This window comes from Homo sapiens, chromosome 9, assembly GCF_000001405.40.
Source record: "Homo sapiens chromosome 9, GRCh38.p14 Primary Assembly".
Lineage (NCBI taxonomy): Eukaryota > Metazoa > Chordata > Mammalia > Primates > Hominidae > Homo > Homo sapiens.
This window is the reverse complement of record NC_000009.12, coordinates 21,707,697-21,722,609: the sequence shown is the minus strand read 5'-3', so window position 1 is coordinate 21,722,609 and position 14,913 is coordinate 21,707,697. Positions and strand designations below refer to the sequence as shown.

Here is a 14,913-nt window from a genome sequence, read left to right as displayed (position 1 = left end):
CTAACATTAATATTATACATTGTATAATATATAATATATAATGTATATACACATTTTATATATAATGTGTATATATACATATATTATATATAATATATACATTTATATTAAGTATATATTATATATGCATTATATATGATGTATATTACACATGTATATATGTATAATTATACATTTATATGTTATACAATTATATGTACAACTGTACATTTAACACATATAATACATATAATTAGCATTATACACGTAATAATGTTAACAATGTGTAGGCATTCTTTTTTTTTATACTTTAAGTTCTAGGGTACATGTGCACAACGTGCAGGTTTGTTACATATGTATATATGTGCCATGTTGGTGTGCTGCACCCAGTAACTTGTCATTTACATTAGGTATATCTCCTAGTGCTATCTCTCCCCCTCCTCCCATCCCACAACAGGCCCCGGTTTGTGATGTTCCCCTTCCTGTGTCCAAGCGTTCTCATTGTTCAATTCCCACCTGTGAGTGAGAACATGTGGTGTTTGGTTTTTTTGTCCTTGCTATAGTTTGCTGAGAATGATGGTTTCCAGCTTCATCCACGTCCCTGCAAAGGACAGGAATCATCCTTTTTTATGGCTGCATAGTATTCCATGGTATATATGTAACATTAATGTGTAGGCATTCTTAAGTCTACGCAACCTATAAAACAGTAAGTCAGGAATAATGATAGTTCCTACCTCAAAGAGTTGTTGTAAATATTAAATGAGTTAATTCATGTAATTTAATATTTACAACAACTCTTTGGGGTAGGAACTATCAATATTCCTATATTACATATGAGAAAATTGAGGTGGAAATAGATTAAGTAACTTACTCAAAGTCATTAAGCTAGCAAGTATCAGAGTTTGAATTCAAACCCAATCAAATGGCAACAGAGTTCATGTTCTTAAGCATCATCCTATACTGCTGTTTTAGGCAATTTCAATACAAGTCGAACTTAAAGCTCATTTTAAATTATTCCTTTTGATGGAATGTCCGTCCTGCTTGGCTAGCTCAGGGTTAGTTCCTTCGCATAAGAGCTGAGTTCAGAAGAGCTGCACGTGGATATGGGAGATGTCAACATGGGCAAGGTACTTATTTATTGTTGTGCCTTTAAAATATTTAATAGTATTTTTAATGTTTAATTTTGGATTAAAGTAATATACATTTAGGAATAAAACAACAATTACAGTAACAGTAGTGATTACTATGCAACAGGCAGATGTGTCAGTCTACCAGAATGTCATCTCAATGAAGGTAGGGGCTGGTCTAGCTGATGCCCTGCTAAATATTGAGCACTCACATAATGCCTGGCATATAGATGGCAGAGTAAACATTTGTGGAACAAAAGAATGGACAAATGCATGTCTTATATACATTATTTTATTTAATCCTCAATATTCTCCTAAGGAAGGTGTTATTAGTGTCATTGCAGATGACAAAACTTATATTTGCCCCACGTTACGTAGCTGGTAAGCCAGGATTCACATGCAGGTCTGTCTGATTCCAGTGCTTCTGCTCTTAATAAGTATATCATGCAGTCATGATACATAGCAAGAAACAAGTATAACAAAGTCTTTTATAAGCATAGTACCGTAGCAGCTGCTTAAGTGCAGCGTTCAGGGAATGTTTAACAAGAATTCTTCAAAGTACAAGTGGTCACTTAGACAAGCCTTACTGTAGTTTAACAAGCGCTTTTTCCTTCTTTTACTCTACTTTGGGAAATGTAAGAGGCTATGAAAACAGACTTCAGAGGGTTTTTTTTTCATTCTAATTAACTCAGCAAATGTATATGAGATCAGATCATTTTTCATATACAGATATTTAAAGGAACTATCTGTTCAGCTTGCATGTTCCAGTAGCTCATTGAATTTTACCGATTTCTTATTCACTAGTGATATTTGCTGAATTGTTCTCACTGCAAGTGAAACCTGTGAGGCTCTACTTTACCATTTTATTGTCATGCATTTTAGATGAGCTCAGTGGGTAGTTAAATTAAGTGGCTACTATTAAATATCTCAAGTATGGGTCTTTATCCACACCCATTTATTTCATCTGCATCCACTTAACGAGATAATTAATAGACACATGGGGTTTAATTGTGGCAGGCTACTTATCTTAAATATAAGTATATTTTACACTTATGGTGAAAGTAAATTTCTCCAATAAAATGTTCTAAATTCATTTTCACTAGAAATAGTTATAAGGGAGGAGTTTGCATGTGTGATTATAGAAATAGTTATAAGAGAGAAGTGTGCATGTGTGATTGCAAGGAGATGACAAATTGGAGAGGAAAAGAAAGAAGCCAGGCGTATGGAAACACAAATATATGTTGACTTGACAGAATAATGGAATCATGGATGTCAGAGCTGGAAGGGTTACCAAGGGACAATCTGGAGCAATGCCTAACCTTCTGGCAGGTATCATTATCCTCATTTCACAAATGAGGCAAGGAGACTCAGACAGGTTACAAAATCTGCCCAAGGCCAATAGCTAATGGTAGAGAAGGCACTGGAAGTAATTATTGTAGTTTTTCTTGCATTGCCCTTTTTCCTAAACTAGGCTGAAAGTCTTTAGCATTCTGTTATGAATTTAAATTATATTTTGGAAGTAAATTTAAGAAGCATTTTCTGTAAAAGACCTCCAAGGAAACAGCTAGAGAGAGGTTTCCTGGTGGCTCTTTGGGAAGGACTTTTACATTCAAGATATAAAAAGCCCTGGCAACATAGTTTTCATCCACTTTCAACCTTCTCTAATCATTGAATAGAAATATAGGAAGACAGGAAAAGCCTGTAAGGATAGCCCAAAAAGGTTTTCCAAGTGTAATGAGCCCATCTATGCATTGAATAGCCTAAGAAGTCATGATGAGGTAATAACAGAAACGAAGGAAATGCAACAAACACAATTAAGTACAGCAAACTCAATAACCATGTGATTATGGGCTTAGAGCTAAATATAAATAAAGCAGCAGACGGGTAAAAATATTGAAACACAAAAGTGCACAGAACCTTGTTCATCATGCTTTAATATGCATCACAATCACACAGAATATTATTTTAAAAACTTGGATTCAAAGGACCTATTAGATCTCAGGTGGGATCTAGGAAATGCATATTTGGCAAACATTCTAGATGATTCTATTACAGATAGTCACTGGTTCACTTGAAGAAATTCTGTGAATTAGAATAGTGCTTCAAAAGCTATAATGTTATACAAATCACATTGCATGATGTTAAATGCAGATTCTGATTCAGTAGAGCTGGGCAAAATCTGAGATTCTGCATTTCTAGCAAGCTCCCAGGTGACATCTGTACCGCTGGTCCATGAAACACATTTTGAATACTAAGGAATGAGAATTCTGGTGTTTAATCAAATAATGTAGTTATTAATTGATATAGAAAATACTGATGGCAGTTTAACTGGTTGATAAAAAATTTGTCTACCATGAAAATTATTTTCCTATAACATATCTGAGTAGCTGGTCAAAAGATAATGAAGGAAATGTTAACGGTACTAAGTTTTTGTTGATTTTTTATATTAGTGATAGTATAGTCGTTATAATACTTTTTTTAATAAAAAATTCTGAGTTCTACCCCAACTCTAATACCAGCTGTGTTAAAATTCCGTCAATAAGATAGAAAACAATATGAAGGTAACATTTTTTATTTTATTTTAAAATTTCAATAGATTTAGGGGTATGAGTGGTTTTTGGTTACATGGATGAATTGTACAGTGGTGAATTCTGGGCTTTTAGTGTGCCCATCACCTGAATAGTGTACATTGCAACCAATAGGTAATATTCCATCCCTCTCCCCCATCACACTCTCTCCACTTCTGATTCTCCAGTGTCCATTATACTACTGTGTATGCCCCTGCATACCCATAGCTTAGCTCCCACTTATAAATGAGAACATATGATATTTGGTTTTCTGTTCCTGAGTTACTTCATTTAGGTTAATGGCCTCCAGTTTCATCCCAGTTGTTGCAAAAGACATTATTTCATTCTTTTTATGGCTGAGTAGTAGTCCTTGGTGTGTGTATGTAATATTTTCTGTATCCACTAATTGGCTGTTGGGCACTTAGGTAGATTTTATATCTTTGCAACTGTGAATTGTACAGGTGTCTTTGATATAATGACTTTTTTCCTTTGGGTAGATACCCAGAAGTAGGATTGCTGGATCAAATGGCAAATCTACTTTTAGTTATTTGACAAATCTCCATACTGTTTTCCATAGAGGTTCTGACAATTTACATTCCCACCAATGGTGTATAAGTTCTCTTTTCACTGAATCTGTGACAACATCTGTTGTTTTTTTGACTTTTTAATAATGGCCATTCCGACAGGAGTAATGTGGTATCTAACTGTGTTTGTAATTTGCATTTCTCTGATGATTAGTGATATTGAGCATTTTTTCATATGTTTTTTGGCCATTTGTATGTCTTGTTTTGAAAAATACCTGTTCGCGTCATTTGCCTGCTTTGTAACGAGAATATTTCTTTATTCTTGCTCATTTGAGTTCCTTGTACATTCTGAATAATAGTCCTTTGTTGGATGTATAGTTGACGAATATTTTCTCCCTTTCTGTAGGTTGTCTATTTACTCTGCTAATTATTTCTTTTCTGTGTGGAAGCTTTTTAGTTTAAGTCTCATTTGTTTATTTTTGGTTTTGTTGCATTTGCTATTGGGGTCTTCGTCATAAATTCTTTGCTTAGGCCAATGCCCAGAAGAGTTTTTCCTAGGTTTTCTTCTAGAATTTTTCATGATTTCAGGTCTTACATTTAGGTCTTTAATCCATCTTGAGTTAATTTTTGTATATGGTGATTGATAGAGATCCAGTTTCATTTTTCTGCATGTGGCTATTCAATTATTGCAGCACCATTGACTGAATAGGTGTCCTTTCCCTGATGCGTGTTTTTGTCTGCTTTGCTGACGATCAGCTGATTGTAAATATTTGGCTTTATTTCTGGGTTCTTTATTCTGTTCCATTGGTCTATGTGTCTACTTTTACACCAGTACTATGCTGTTTTGGTTATTATGGCTTTGTAGTATCATTTGAAGTCAGGTAATGTGATGCCCCCAGATTTGTTCTTTTTGCTTAGGATTGTTTTGGCTATTAGGGCTCTTTCACGGTTCCATATGAATTTTAGAATTTGTTTTTCTAATTCTGTGAAAAATTACAATGGTATTTGGATAGGAATTGCATTGAATCTATAGATTGCTTTGGGCAGTATAGTTATTTTCACAATACTGATTCTTCCAATCCATGAGCATGGGATGTTTTTCCATTTGTTTGTGTCATCTACAATTTCTTTCATCTTGTGGCAATCATTCATCTCCTTGGTTAAATATATTCCTAGGTATTTTGCAACATCCTTGAATTCCTAGAATGAAACCCACTTAATCATGATGAGTTATTTTATTGATGTGCTGTTAGATTTGGTTTGATGGCATTTTGTTGAGGATTTTTGCATCTATGTTCATCAGAGATATTGGTCTGTAGCTTTCTTTTTTTATTGTGTCATTTCCTGGCATTGGTATCCAGGTGATTCTGGCTTTTAGAATGAGTTAGGGAGGATGCCCTCCTTCTAAACCTTTTGGAATAGTTTCAGTAGGACTGGTGTCAGTTCTTTCTTGAAAGTCTGGTAGAAATTGGCTGTGAATCCATCTGGTCCATGGCTTTTTTGTTTGTTGTTGGAATATTTTTTATTACTGATTCAATGTCACCACCCATTATTGGTCTGTTCAGGATTTCTATTTCTTCCTGATTCAAACTTGGTGGGGTGTACTGGGCCATTCTTGCATTGGTGTAAAGAAATACCTAAGACTGGGTAATTTATATGAAAAGAGGTTAATTGGCTTATGGTTCTGTAGGCTGTACAGGAGGCATTGACTGCATCTGCTTCTGGGGAGGCCCCAGGGAACTTTTACCCATGGCAGAAGACAAAGAGGGAACAGGCACTTCACAGGGCCAAAGCAGAAGCAAGAGAGCAAGGGGGGCAGTGCCTTACACTTTTAAATGAACAGATCTTGTGAGAACTCACTAACCATTGTGAGGGCAGTACTCTCTCCTTGCTCTCTTGCTCCTGCTTTTGCCATGTGAAGTGCTTGCTCCCACTTTGCTTTCTGCCATGAGTAAAAGCTTCCTGTGGCCTCCCAAGAAGCATGTGCTACCATGCTTCCTGTATAGCCTGCAGAACCATAAACCAATTAAACCTCTTTTCTTATAAATTACTAATCTCAGATATTTCTTTATAGCGAAAAAAAAAATGGCCTAATACAGAAAATTGGTACTAAGGAGTAGAACATTGCTATAAAGATACCCGAAAGTGTGGAAGTGACTTTGGAACTGGGTAATGGGTAGAGGCTGGAATAGTTTGGAGGGCTCAGAAGAAGACAGGAAGATGAGAGAAAGTTTGCAACTTCTTAGAGACTGGTTAAATGGTTGTGATCAAAATGCTGATAATGATATGGACAGTGAAGGCCAGGCTGACCAGGTCTCAGATGGAAATGAGAAACTTATTGGGAACTGGTGCAAAGGTCATGCATGTTATGCCTTAGGAAAGAGCTTGTCTGGCTTGTGTCCATGCCCTAGGGATACGTGGAAGTTTTAATTTGAGAGTGATGACCTAGGGTATCTGGCAGGAGAAATTTCTAAGCGATAAAGTGTTCAAGAAGTGACACGGCTGTTTCTAACAATCTATTCCTATGTGCAGGAGAAAAGAAATGACCTCAAGTTGAAACTTACATTTTAAAGGGAAACAGCATAAAAGTTTGAAAAATTTTCAGCCTAAACATGTTACAGAGAAAAAAACATTTTCTTTTGGGAGAGGAATTCAAGCAGGCTGTGGAGGAACCACTTGCTAGAGAGATTTGCATAACTGAAAATAAGGCAAGTGCTGATAGATAAGATAATGAGAAAAATATCTCAAAGGCATTTCAGAGATCTAAGAAACAGTTCATTGCATCACAGGCCCAGAGGCTTAAGAGGGAAGAATGGCTTCATGGGCCAATCCCAGGGCCCCACTGCCCTGCACAGTGTTGGGACACTGCTCCCTGCATTTCTGCTGTTCCTGTTCCAGTCATGGTTCAAAGGGGCTCAGATACAGCTCAAGCTGCTGTTTCAGAAAGTGCAAGCTATAATTCTTGGCAGCTTCCACGTGGTGTTAAGCCTACAACTGTGCAGAATGCAAGAGTTGAGGCTTGGGAGCCTCCACCTAGATTTCAGAAAATGTATGGAAAAGCCACGGTGTCTAGGCCGAAGCCTGCTGCAGGGATGGAACCCGTATGGAGAAACTCTGTTAAGGCAGTGCAGTGGGGAAAGGTGAGGTTAGAGCCCCTTCCCAGAGTCCGCACTAGGGCACAGCCTAGCAGAGCTGTGAGAAGAGGGCCACTGTCCTCCAAACCCCAGAATAGTAGATCCACCAAGAGCTTGCACTCTGTGCCTGGAAAAGTTCCAGGCACTTAACACAAGCCCATGAGAGCAGTTGTGGGGACTGAATCATGTAATGCTACAGAGGCAGAGCTGCCCAATGCTTTGAGAGCCCACCCCTTGCAGAAGTGTGCCCTGGATGTGGAACATGAAGTAAAAGGAGATTATTTTGGAGTTTAAGATTTAATGACTTCCCTTCTGGGTTTCAGACTTGCTAGGGCCTATAGCCCCTTTCTTTTGGCCAATGTCTTCCTTTTGGAGTTGGAATGTTTACCCAATGCTCGTACCCCCACTGTATCTTGGAAGTAATTAACTTGTTTTATATTTTACAGGCTCACAGGTGGAAAGGAATTGCCTTGTCTCAGATCAGACTTCAGACTTTGGGCTTTTGAGTAAATGCTGGAATGAGTTAAGACTTTGGGGGATTATTGGGGAGGCATGATTGTATTTTGAAATGTGAGAAGGACATGAGGTTTGGGAGGTATCAGGGGCAGAATGATATAGTTTGGATGCATGTCCCCACCAAAATCTCTATTGAAATATAATCCCCAATGTTGGAGATGAAGCCTGGTAGGAGATGATTGAATCAAGGGGGTGGAGTTCTGGTGAATGGTTTAGTACGATCCCTTTGATACTGTCCTCACGTTAAAACAACCAGGTCTCACATGAGTGAATTTTCATGAGACCTGATTGTTTAAAAATATGTGGTACTTCCCCCTCACTTTCTTGCTCATGTTTTGGCCATGTGAAGTGCCTACTCCACCTTTGCCTTTCTTCATGATCGTAGGTTTCCTGAGGCCTCCCAGAAGCAAGCAGATGCCATCATGCTTCCTGTGGAACCTGCAGAACTGTGAACCAATTAAACTGCCTTTCTTTATAAATTATCCAGTCTCAAGGTTTTTAGTTAGATTTTTGGAGATGGAGTCTCGTTCTGTCACCCAGGCTGGAGTGCAATGGCATGATCTTGGCTCACTGCAACCTCTACTTCCTGGGTTCAAGCGATTCTCATGCCTCAGCTTCCCTAGTAGCTGGGATTACAGGCATGCACCACCACACCCGGCTAATTTTTGTATTTTTAGCAGAGATAGGGTTTTGCCATGTTGCCCAGGCTAGGCTTGAACTCCTGGCCTCAAATGATCCACCCACTTTGGCCTCCCAAAGTGCTGGGATTATAGGCATGAGCCACCAAGTCTGGCTCAACTATTTCTTTATATCAATGATAGAACAGACTAACAAAGCAGATTACATTTTTTTTTATTATTATACTTTAAGTTTTAGGGTACATGTGCACAATGTGCAGGTTAGTTACATATGTATACATGTGACATGCTGGTGCGCCGCACCCACTAACTCGTCATCTAGCATTAGGTATCTCTCCCAATGCTATCCCTCCCCCCTCCCCCCTTTGCTTCTCTTACTTCTAATAGTTTGTTTTGTAACCAATAGATTGAAACTGCCACAATTAATAACAATACATGAATACCAGCTGCCATTATGGGCTGTGTCATTTCTGGCAAGAGAGCTTTAATTTTACCTTTTTCTTCCTACTTATGGAAACATAGCAGAGTGCAACTGAATAAAAGTAAGGTTACTCTGATTTATTAAAAATATGTAAATTTTTATTGTTAGTGATCTAACCTAATTAAAGCTTAGCCTCTCAGTGGTTCTTTCTCTGCAAAGAATCACATTCAGAGAAACATCAGTCTGGGATTCAAAATGATTGGGAAGCAATTTATTCTTTAGTTCATTTATCTTGAAATGCTAAAAAGACCCTGCATTCATAATGCACAGGAAATATCATTAAAATAAATCCTTGTTCCTCATCTCTATTTTAGTTTTTCCAAAATATCCCCAGATGCCTCCAACTATCTCTCTTTTCATATTTCCCTCAACAACTCTCACAAGCCCACTCTAATTAAATTTTTATCCCTCTCCCTTCTGCTTTCTGGCTTAGCTCTTTAGACTGTAGATCAGTTTTGCTTGTCTTCCTTCTAGTAATTTTTAAGTCTCCTCTTTACCTGCATTCTGTAAAACAAACGGGCAGGGATTCAAAGTACTGATTCAGGAAGCAAGAAGCCTTTCTCTTTAGAAGTAGGGGCAGAGGGGGAGAGAGGAAACAGTTTTACAAATCTTATAGCTTAATATTTTTCACTCTTGTCATATTAACGATTTGTCATGTACCTTGCAAGTGATCTTGACACATTGCTTGAGAACTTATGCTATACTCCTCCACCATGTAAATCTTCTACAACTCTAAGGCAGTATGAGAAAACCTGATGTAAGTAGTTTTATATTTCCAGCCAGGTAGTTTCCAATACTCTTAAGGGGAGTCAGTAGTTTCCTAATCTACCAACTTGCTCCCCACCCTAAAAAATCTGATGACAGTTTTGAAATTGTGCCTAATTTTAGTTTACTTTGAGCTAAAGATATGCCCTACAAACGTTTTATTTTGTTAAAAAGGGTTATGACTCAATTTTTAAAGTAAATTTTTAGTCAGTCAGCAGAAAGTGTGATCCTTTTAGTTTAGGGGAGGCATTCTATGCCACTGTAACATTAGCAGCACTTGGTCCCTAGATTGGGATAGTAGTATTAATTTTGAAGCTAGCAATTATCCTTTTAATAAGTGGGATTGTTAGTCATATGTTACTGGTAATTTAGCTCAATTATAAAAATGATGCATAGTTTAACATACGAATACATAAGCCAGAAGTTATTATTCAAAGATGTCAGAATTTCATAGAATTAATCAATCTATATAGCATTCAGTTTAATCAGAGATCATGTACCTCAATTTGAAAATTATAAAGATTATCTAACAGATTCAAGAGAGATTAACCAAAAATTTTTGACTATTTTAAAACCTCAATTCAGTCTAAACACTATTCTAGTTTGAGCTTTTGTTATGAAAGTATGTTGGCCACGAAATTTGTTTTACAGACTTCTTATACAAAGCCTATTTTTAAATGCTTGGGGCCAAGTGAATTGAGCACATTTCCAATAATTCTGGGGCTACAGATCCTCTGACATTCTGACTGCTCAATCTAGATTAAAAACTATTGCTTAACAATTATACTTTTCCAAAATAATTTCAATTTTGGAATCATAGGTAAGGTTTGTACAAGTATTTGGATTCTAAAATAGATTTTCATTCATTCAAGCAAGGAAAACACCATGTAAACTTTTTATTTGGAACTCTGATTAGATTCAAATTTTGGAATCATCATTTTTGAAAAGTACAATTGTGTGTTGACAGTTATTGTGTCTACATTCAGAGGAGAATCTCTTGGTTACATTGGCAGTTTTGATCTGGTTTTAATCAAGATTTCCTGGATGTAATTCCCATAAGAAGAGATGAATGTGTACATTCATTTGACTTAGTAGCTGAGTCTTCTAAGAGACATTCACAGGGAGATGAGTGTGAAACAAGAGCACTCTTGCAGACAAAGGCAGCCATGCAGAACCTTCCCCAGGCTATTGTGACAGTGCGCCTTTGAGTCAGACTTTTAACCCTCCCACGTCAGGTTTGTCTCTCCTGCTTCTGTTAGGAGAGCAGTCATAATCCCCACCACAGGAAGGAGATTATCATAAAGCAAACCCTGTTGAAGCATACATGGAGCTACTGGAAAACATTTTTAAGCAGAGGAAATGGCAAAAATTGAGGTCCCAAGTGCTTGTGATGTGTGTGTATGTGTCAAGTTGGCTAGGTCACACAGCACCCAGGTATTTTATCAAACATTATTCTAGATTTTTCTGTAATGGTTTTTTAGATGATATTTACATTTAAATTAGTAGAATTTGAGTAAAGCAAATTACCGTTCATTATGTGGGTGAAACTCATTCAATCAGGTTAGGGCCTTAGTAGAAAAAGACTGAACTCCTCAGAATAAAAGGGAACTCTGCCAGCAGCCTGCCTTTGCACTCAAACTGCAACTCTTCCCTGGATCTCCAGCCTGTTGGTCTACCCTTGCAGATTTTGGATTTACCAAGCCTCCACAACTGTGTGAGCCAATTCCTTAAAGTAAGTCTTTCTTCTTATATGTATGAAGATATGTGTACTAACAGGATGTGGTACAGATCCTGTTGGTTCAGACACACACATGCCTACACACACATGAACACACACACATAGATATCCCCCCCCCACACACGCAAGCACACACATCCTGTTGGTTCTGCTTCTCTGGAGAACTCTGAGTAATACAATGCCTAATGGGCTGTGATGAGCAAGTGAAAGGGTAAAAAAATCTAAGTTACAATAATGAAAGAAACATACACTTAATATATCACAGCAAAATAAACAGATAAGCCAGAATAGAGGTTCTCAAGCCTGACTGCTGCCCAGGGGAGCATTAAAAATATCCTGAGGCATACGCCCTACCCCCACCACTAAGATTCTAACTTATTAGATCTGGGTGGGACCCAGGCATCAGAATATTTAAAGAGCTCCTCAGCTCCCCAAGTAATGCTAATCTGTAGCCTCATGCTATCAATCTTGCAGTAGAAGAATGGCCATACCTTAAGGCTGTTCATAAAGGAATGCTCCTCCGGCCTACGAAGAAATATCTGTAAAAAAAAGTAACTAATTGAAGGAACTTAAAATGAGAAAAATACAGATTATTTTGTATTTTTGTAAGGCAAACTCAATGCTCCATGAGAATACCATTAATTTATTCATTTACTCATTTAAAGTTATTTATTAAGTAGATATGTGCTTAAACTCTAGGCTAGAGTCTGAATGACAAGAAATTCAGTAAAACTGGGTATCTGGCTTTTAGGGGCTCAAAGTTTATTGGTGTAGACAGATACTTAAACAACTACAATAGAATAAATGAAATTCTTCTTTTAAGCAAACATTTATTGAACACTTAGGTGCTAGAGCCATATATGTATGATTTAAAAAAAATCCCCACAATAACTCTCTAAAGTAAATATTATCCCACAGTTAGTAGAAGGTAGACTTAAGATCTACCCAGGCAATCCAGCTCTGGAATCTGTGCTCTTAATCAATGCATAGTATATAATTATGTATAGTATAATCTAGGATTATATAATCCCAAAATTATGAAATTCTTAAGAAAGTTCAGCAGAAGAAGCCATTAGTGTACTTCACAAAGAACACACGATTAACTTTTAGAATGGTAACCTTATTCATTCCTATGATCTTAGGACACTAAGCAAGTTATTTGGGAAATCACAAAAAGTGCTGTGATACTTTGAGCATTGCTGTGCTAAACTGCAAAAAAAATTCTGGGAAACTCTGATTTTGTTGTGTAAGGGTCGTTTTCTGAGCATAGTATGAAATCTTATGGATTATATAATAGTAAAGTAGAAAAACATTTTGGAAAGGACTTCATCTAAATTTCTCATTTTGATATGAGGAGACTGATGCCTAAAGTGGTTAAGTGCAATCATTAAGACTACTCAACAAGTTAGCCGCAGAGCCAAAACAAGAACTCAAGGCTCAGTCTTGGTTTTAAAACTCATGTTCACATAGTGTACCCTCTAGTGGCCACTTTGTGCATGACGACTTAACCTCCCTTATCAAAGTTGAGTGTATCAAGGGTAGGAGTTGACCCACTGGTTCAATCCGACTCTGATTTTTGAAAATTTGGAATTGAGACCAATTGAGAGAAGGCTTTTTTTTTTTTCTTGTTGGTAGAAGGCTGTATTTGTAAAGCATAAGCTCTGAAGCCACAGGCTCCGTATTTTCCACACAAGGAAAGAAGATTTAGAGTGATACTAACTGCAATAGAAGATAAATCTTCAAATCTTAATAGCTTAACGGAATAGGTAGAACTTAACAGATAGCACTTTACTTCTCAGTAACATCAAGTCCATGGTGGAGGAGGGAGGTGTTGATGATAGGGCAGGGGGCATGCAGTTATTCAGGGACCAAGCTCCTTTTATCCTGTGGCTCCTAACCTCCTCCAAGGCTTTAGTTTTCATCATTCTGCCGGTAGATTAGGAGAGATAGAAAGTACAGAATTTCATGGGAGCTTATAGGTCAGAATTTGAAGTGGAAGCCAGAAGTGAGCTACGTGGTTACATCTAATGGCCCATGTGGTCTAGTTACATCCCCAGAAGAAAAAAAAGGAATTTGCTGAACAACCAGCCAATGCCTGCCACGTGGAAGAAACCAGTTGATAGACAGCAAGAGGAATGAACAGATGGACTGAGAGGAAGAGAGGTAAAATGGTGAGAAAATCTCGATGGCTTTCTAGGCTCTGGTGTCAGCCCCTTCCTGAGGCCCCACTGCATCCCTGCAGCTGGATTCTGTAAGACATTTAGGACATTCTGTATCCTTCTAATTCCCCTATTCTGCTTAAACTAGCTGATGCTGGTTTCTGTAGTTTACAACGAAGACAGTCCTAAGAAATACTCACATTCAGGAAGATTGTAACAGCTTGGAAGATACATATGTCTTCAAAATCACCCACAGTGTCTATAGAAATGTACTGTGAGTTTCATTTACTTGTATCTACTTCCGTAATGACATTGGCAGCCTGGAGATTAGTATTTACAATTGTGCTAAACCCCTTCATACAGATGCTGCAGCTTAAGTCAGCATAAAAAAAAGCAAACCAAGACAGTATGAGCAAGCTGCGCCAGAAAGAGTTGGTTATTAAATCACACACATTGATTTATAGCTTCAGTTTGCCTTTACCTAAATGTCTAGTTATTTAACAGCTGTTATGAATCAGCCAGATAGAGGATTAAGAAGGACTGGGGGTTAGGGGAGAAGTCGATGAAAAAATGCTTTAATCTTATGCTACAATAGAGGAACAAGTTGAGTCAGGTATCATGCAGTAATTTGGGTTCTCTGATGCTTCTTAAAGGGGAGTATTGTTCAGCTGGAACGTGAAACAGTGTAACATAGACCAGTAGGCTATGTACATGTTAACCACATCTGTGAGTGAGGTAAGTAATACTGGGTCCCAGGTAGGAAGCAATGTATCAATAAATATTGGAAGTAGCTGGCTCTGTCAAAATGTTCCCACTCTCATTGGCTGTAAATAGATAATTGACTTCAGAAGTTTGTTTGGGAACATTAAAATTTAACAAGAAGTAATATAAGTTAAGACATAGGTGACCAAATAGAAATCAAGGCAGAATTCGGTTAGGGTGGTTCCTTAGCTGATTATGTTTAATCTCCACACCAAAGTCTTGGATAATAATCAGGAAGGATTTACCAAGTGGAAGTATCTCTTTGTAAAAATTTCTTTTACACGAGAATTCATAAAGGCAAAAAAGGACTTGCTGAGAATATCTGAACCTCCATCTATTCTCAGATGAGGTCAGGGTAATGTTTACTCTTTGTATGCGTTCTGCACACTAAGAAGAGCATAAGCTGGCTGCTGAGGTGACACTCCACTCCTCGCCTCTAAAGATGATGCTAGGGCCAGATGCGGTGGCTCACATCTGTAATCTCAGCACTTTGGGATGCCAAGGTGGGTAGATCAGCTGAGGT

At 37.7% G+C, this 14,913-nt stretch overlaps 1 long non-coding RNA gene across 1 annotated transcript in view, besides 2 other annotated features; it reads left to right on the top strand.

The window, feature by feature from the left end:
- LOC107987026 (uncharacterized) overlaps window positions 1–14,913 on the top strand; it is a 69,939-nt gene that overhangs the window by 45,378 nt on the left and 9,648 nt on the right. The gene's annotated exons all lie outside the window — the stretch shown is intronic.
- Window positions 1,711–1,855: an enhancer, noted in NCBI's record as "145 bp 9:21720826 sequence used in MPRA reporter constructs". NCBI's record gives its function as "activates a minimal TATA-containing promoter with rs10811596 allelic activity by MPRAs in C283T melanocytes {active_cell/tissue: C283T}" and the evidence as "EXISTENCE:reporter gene assay evidence [ECO:0000049][PMID:36423637]".
- Window position 1,783: a transcriptional cis regulatory region, noted in NCBI's record as "rs10811596 or 9:21720826 MPRA-significant variant associated with a GWAS melanoma risk locus at 9p21.3". NCBI's record gives its function as "allelic transcriptional activity by MPRAs in C283T melanocytes {active_cell/tissue: C283T}" and the evidence as "EXISTENCE:reporter gene assay evidence [ECO:0000049][PMID:36423637]".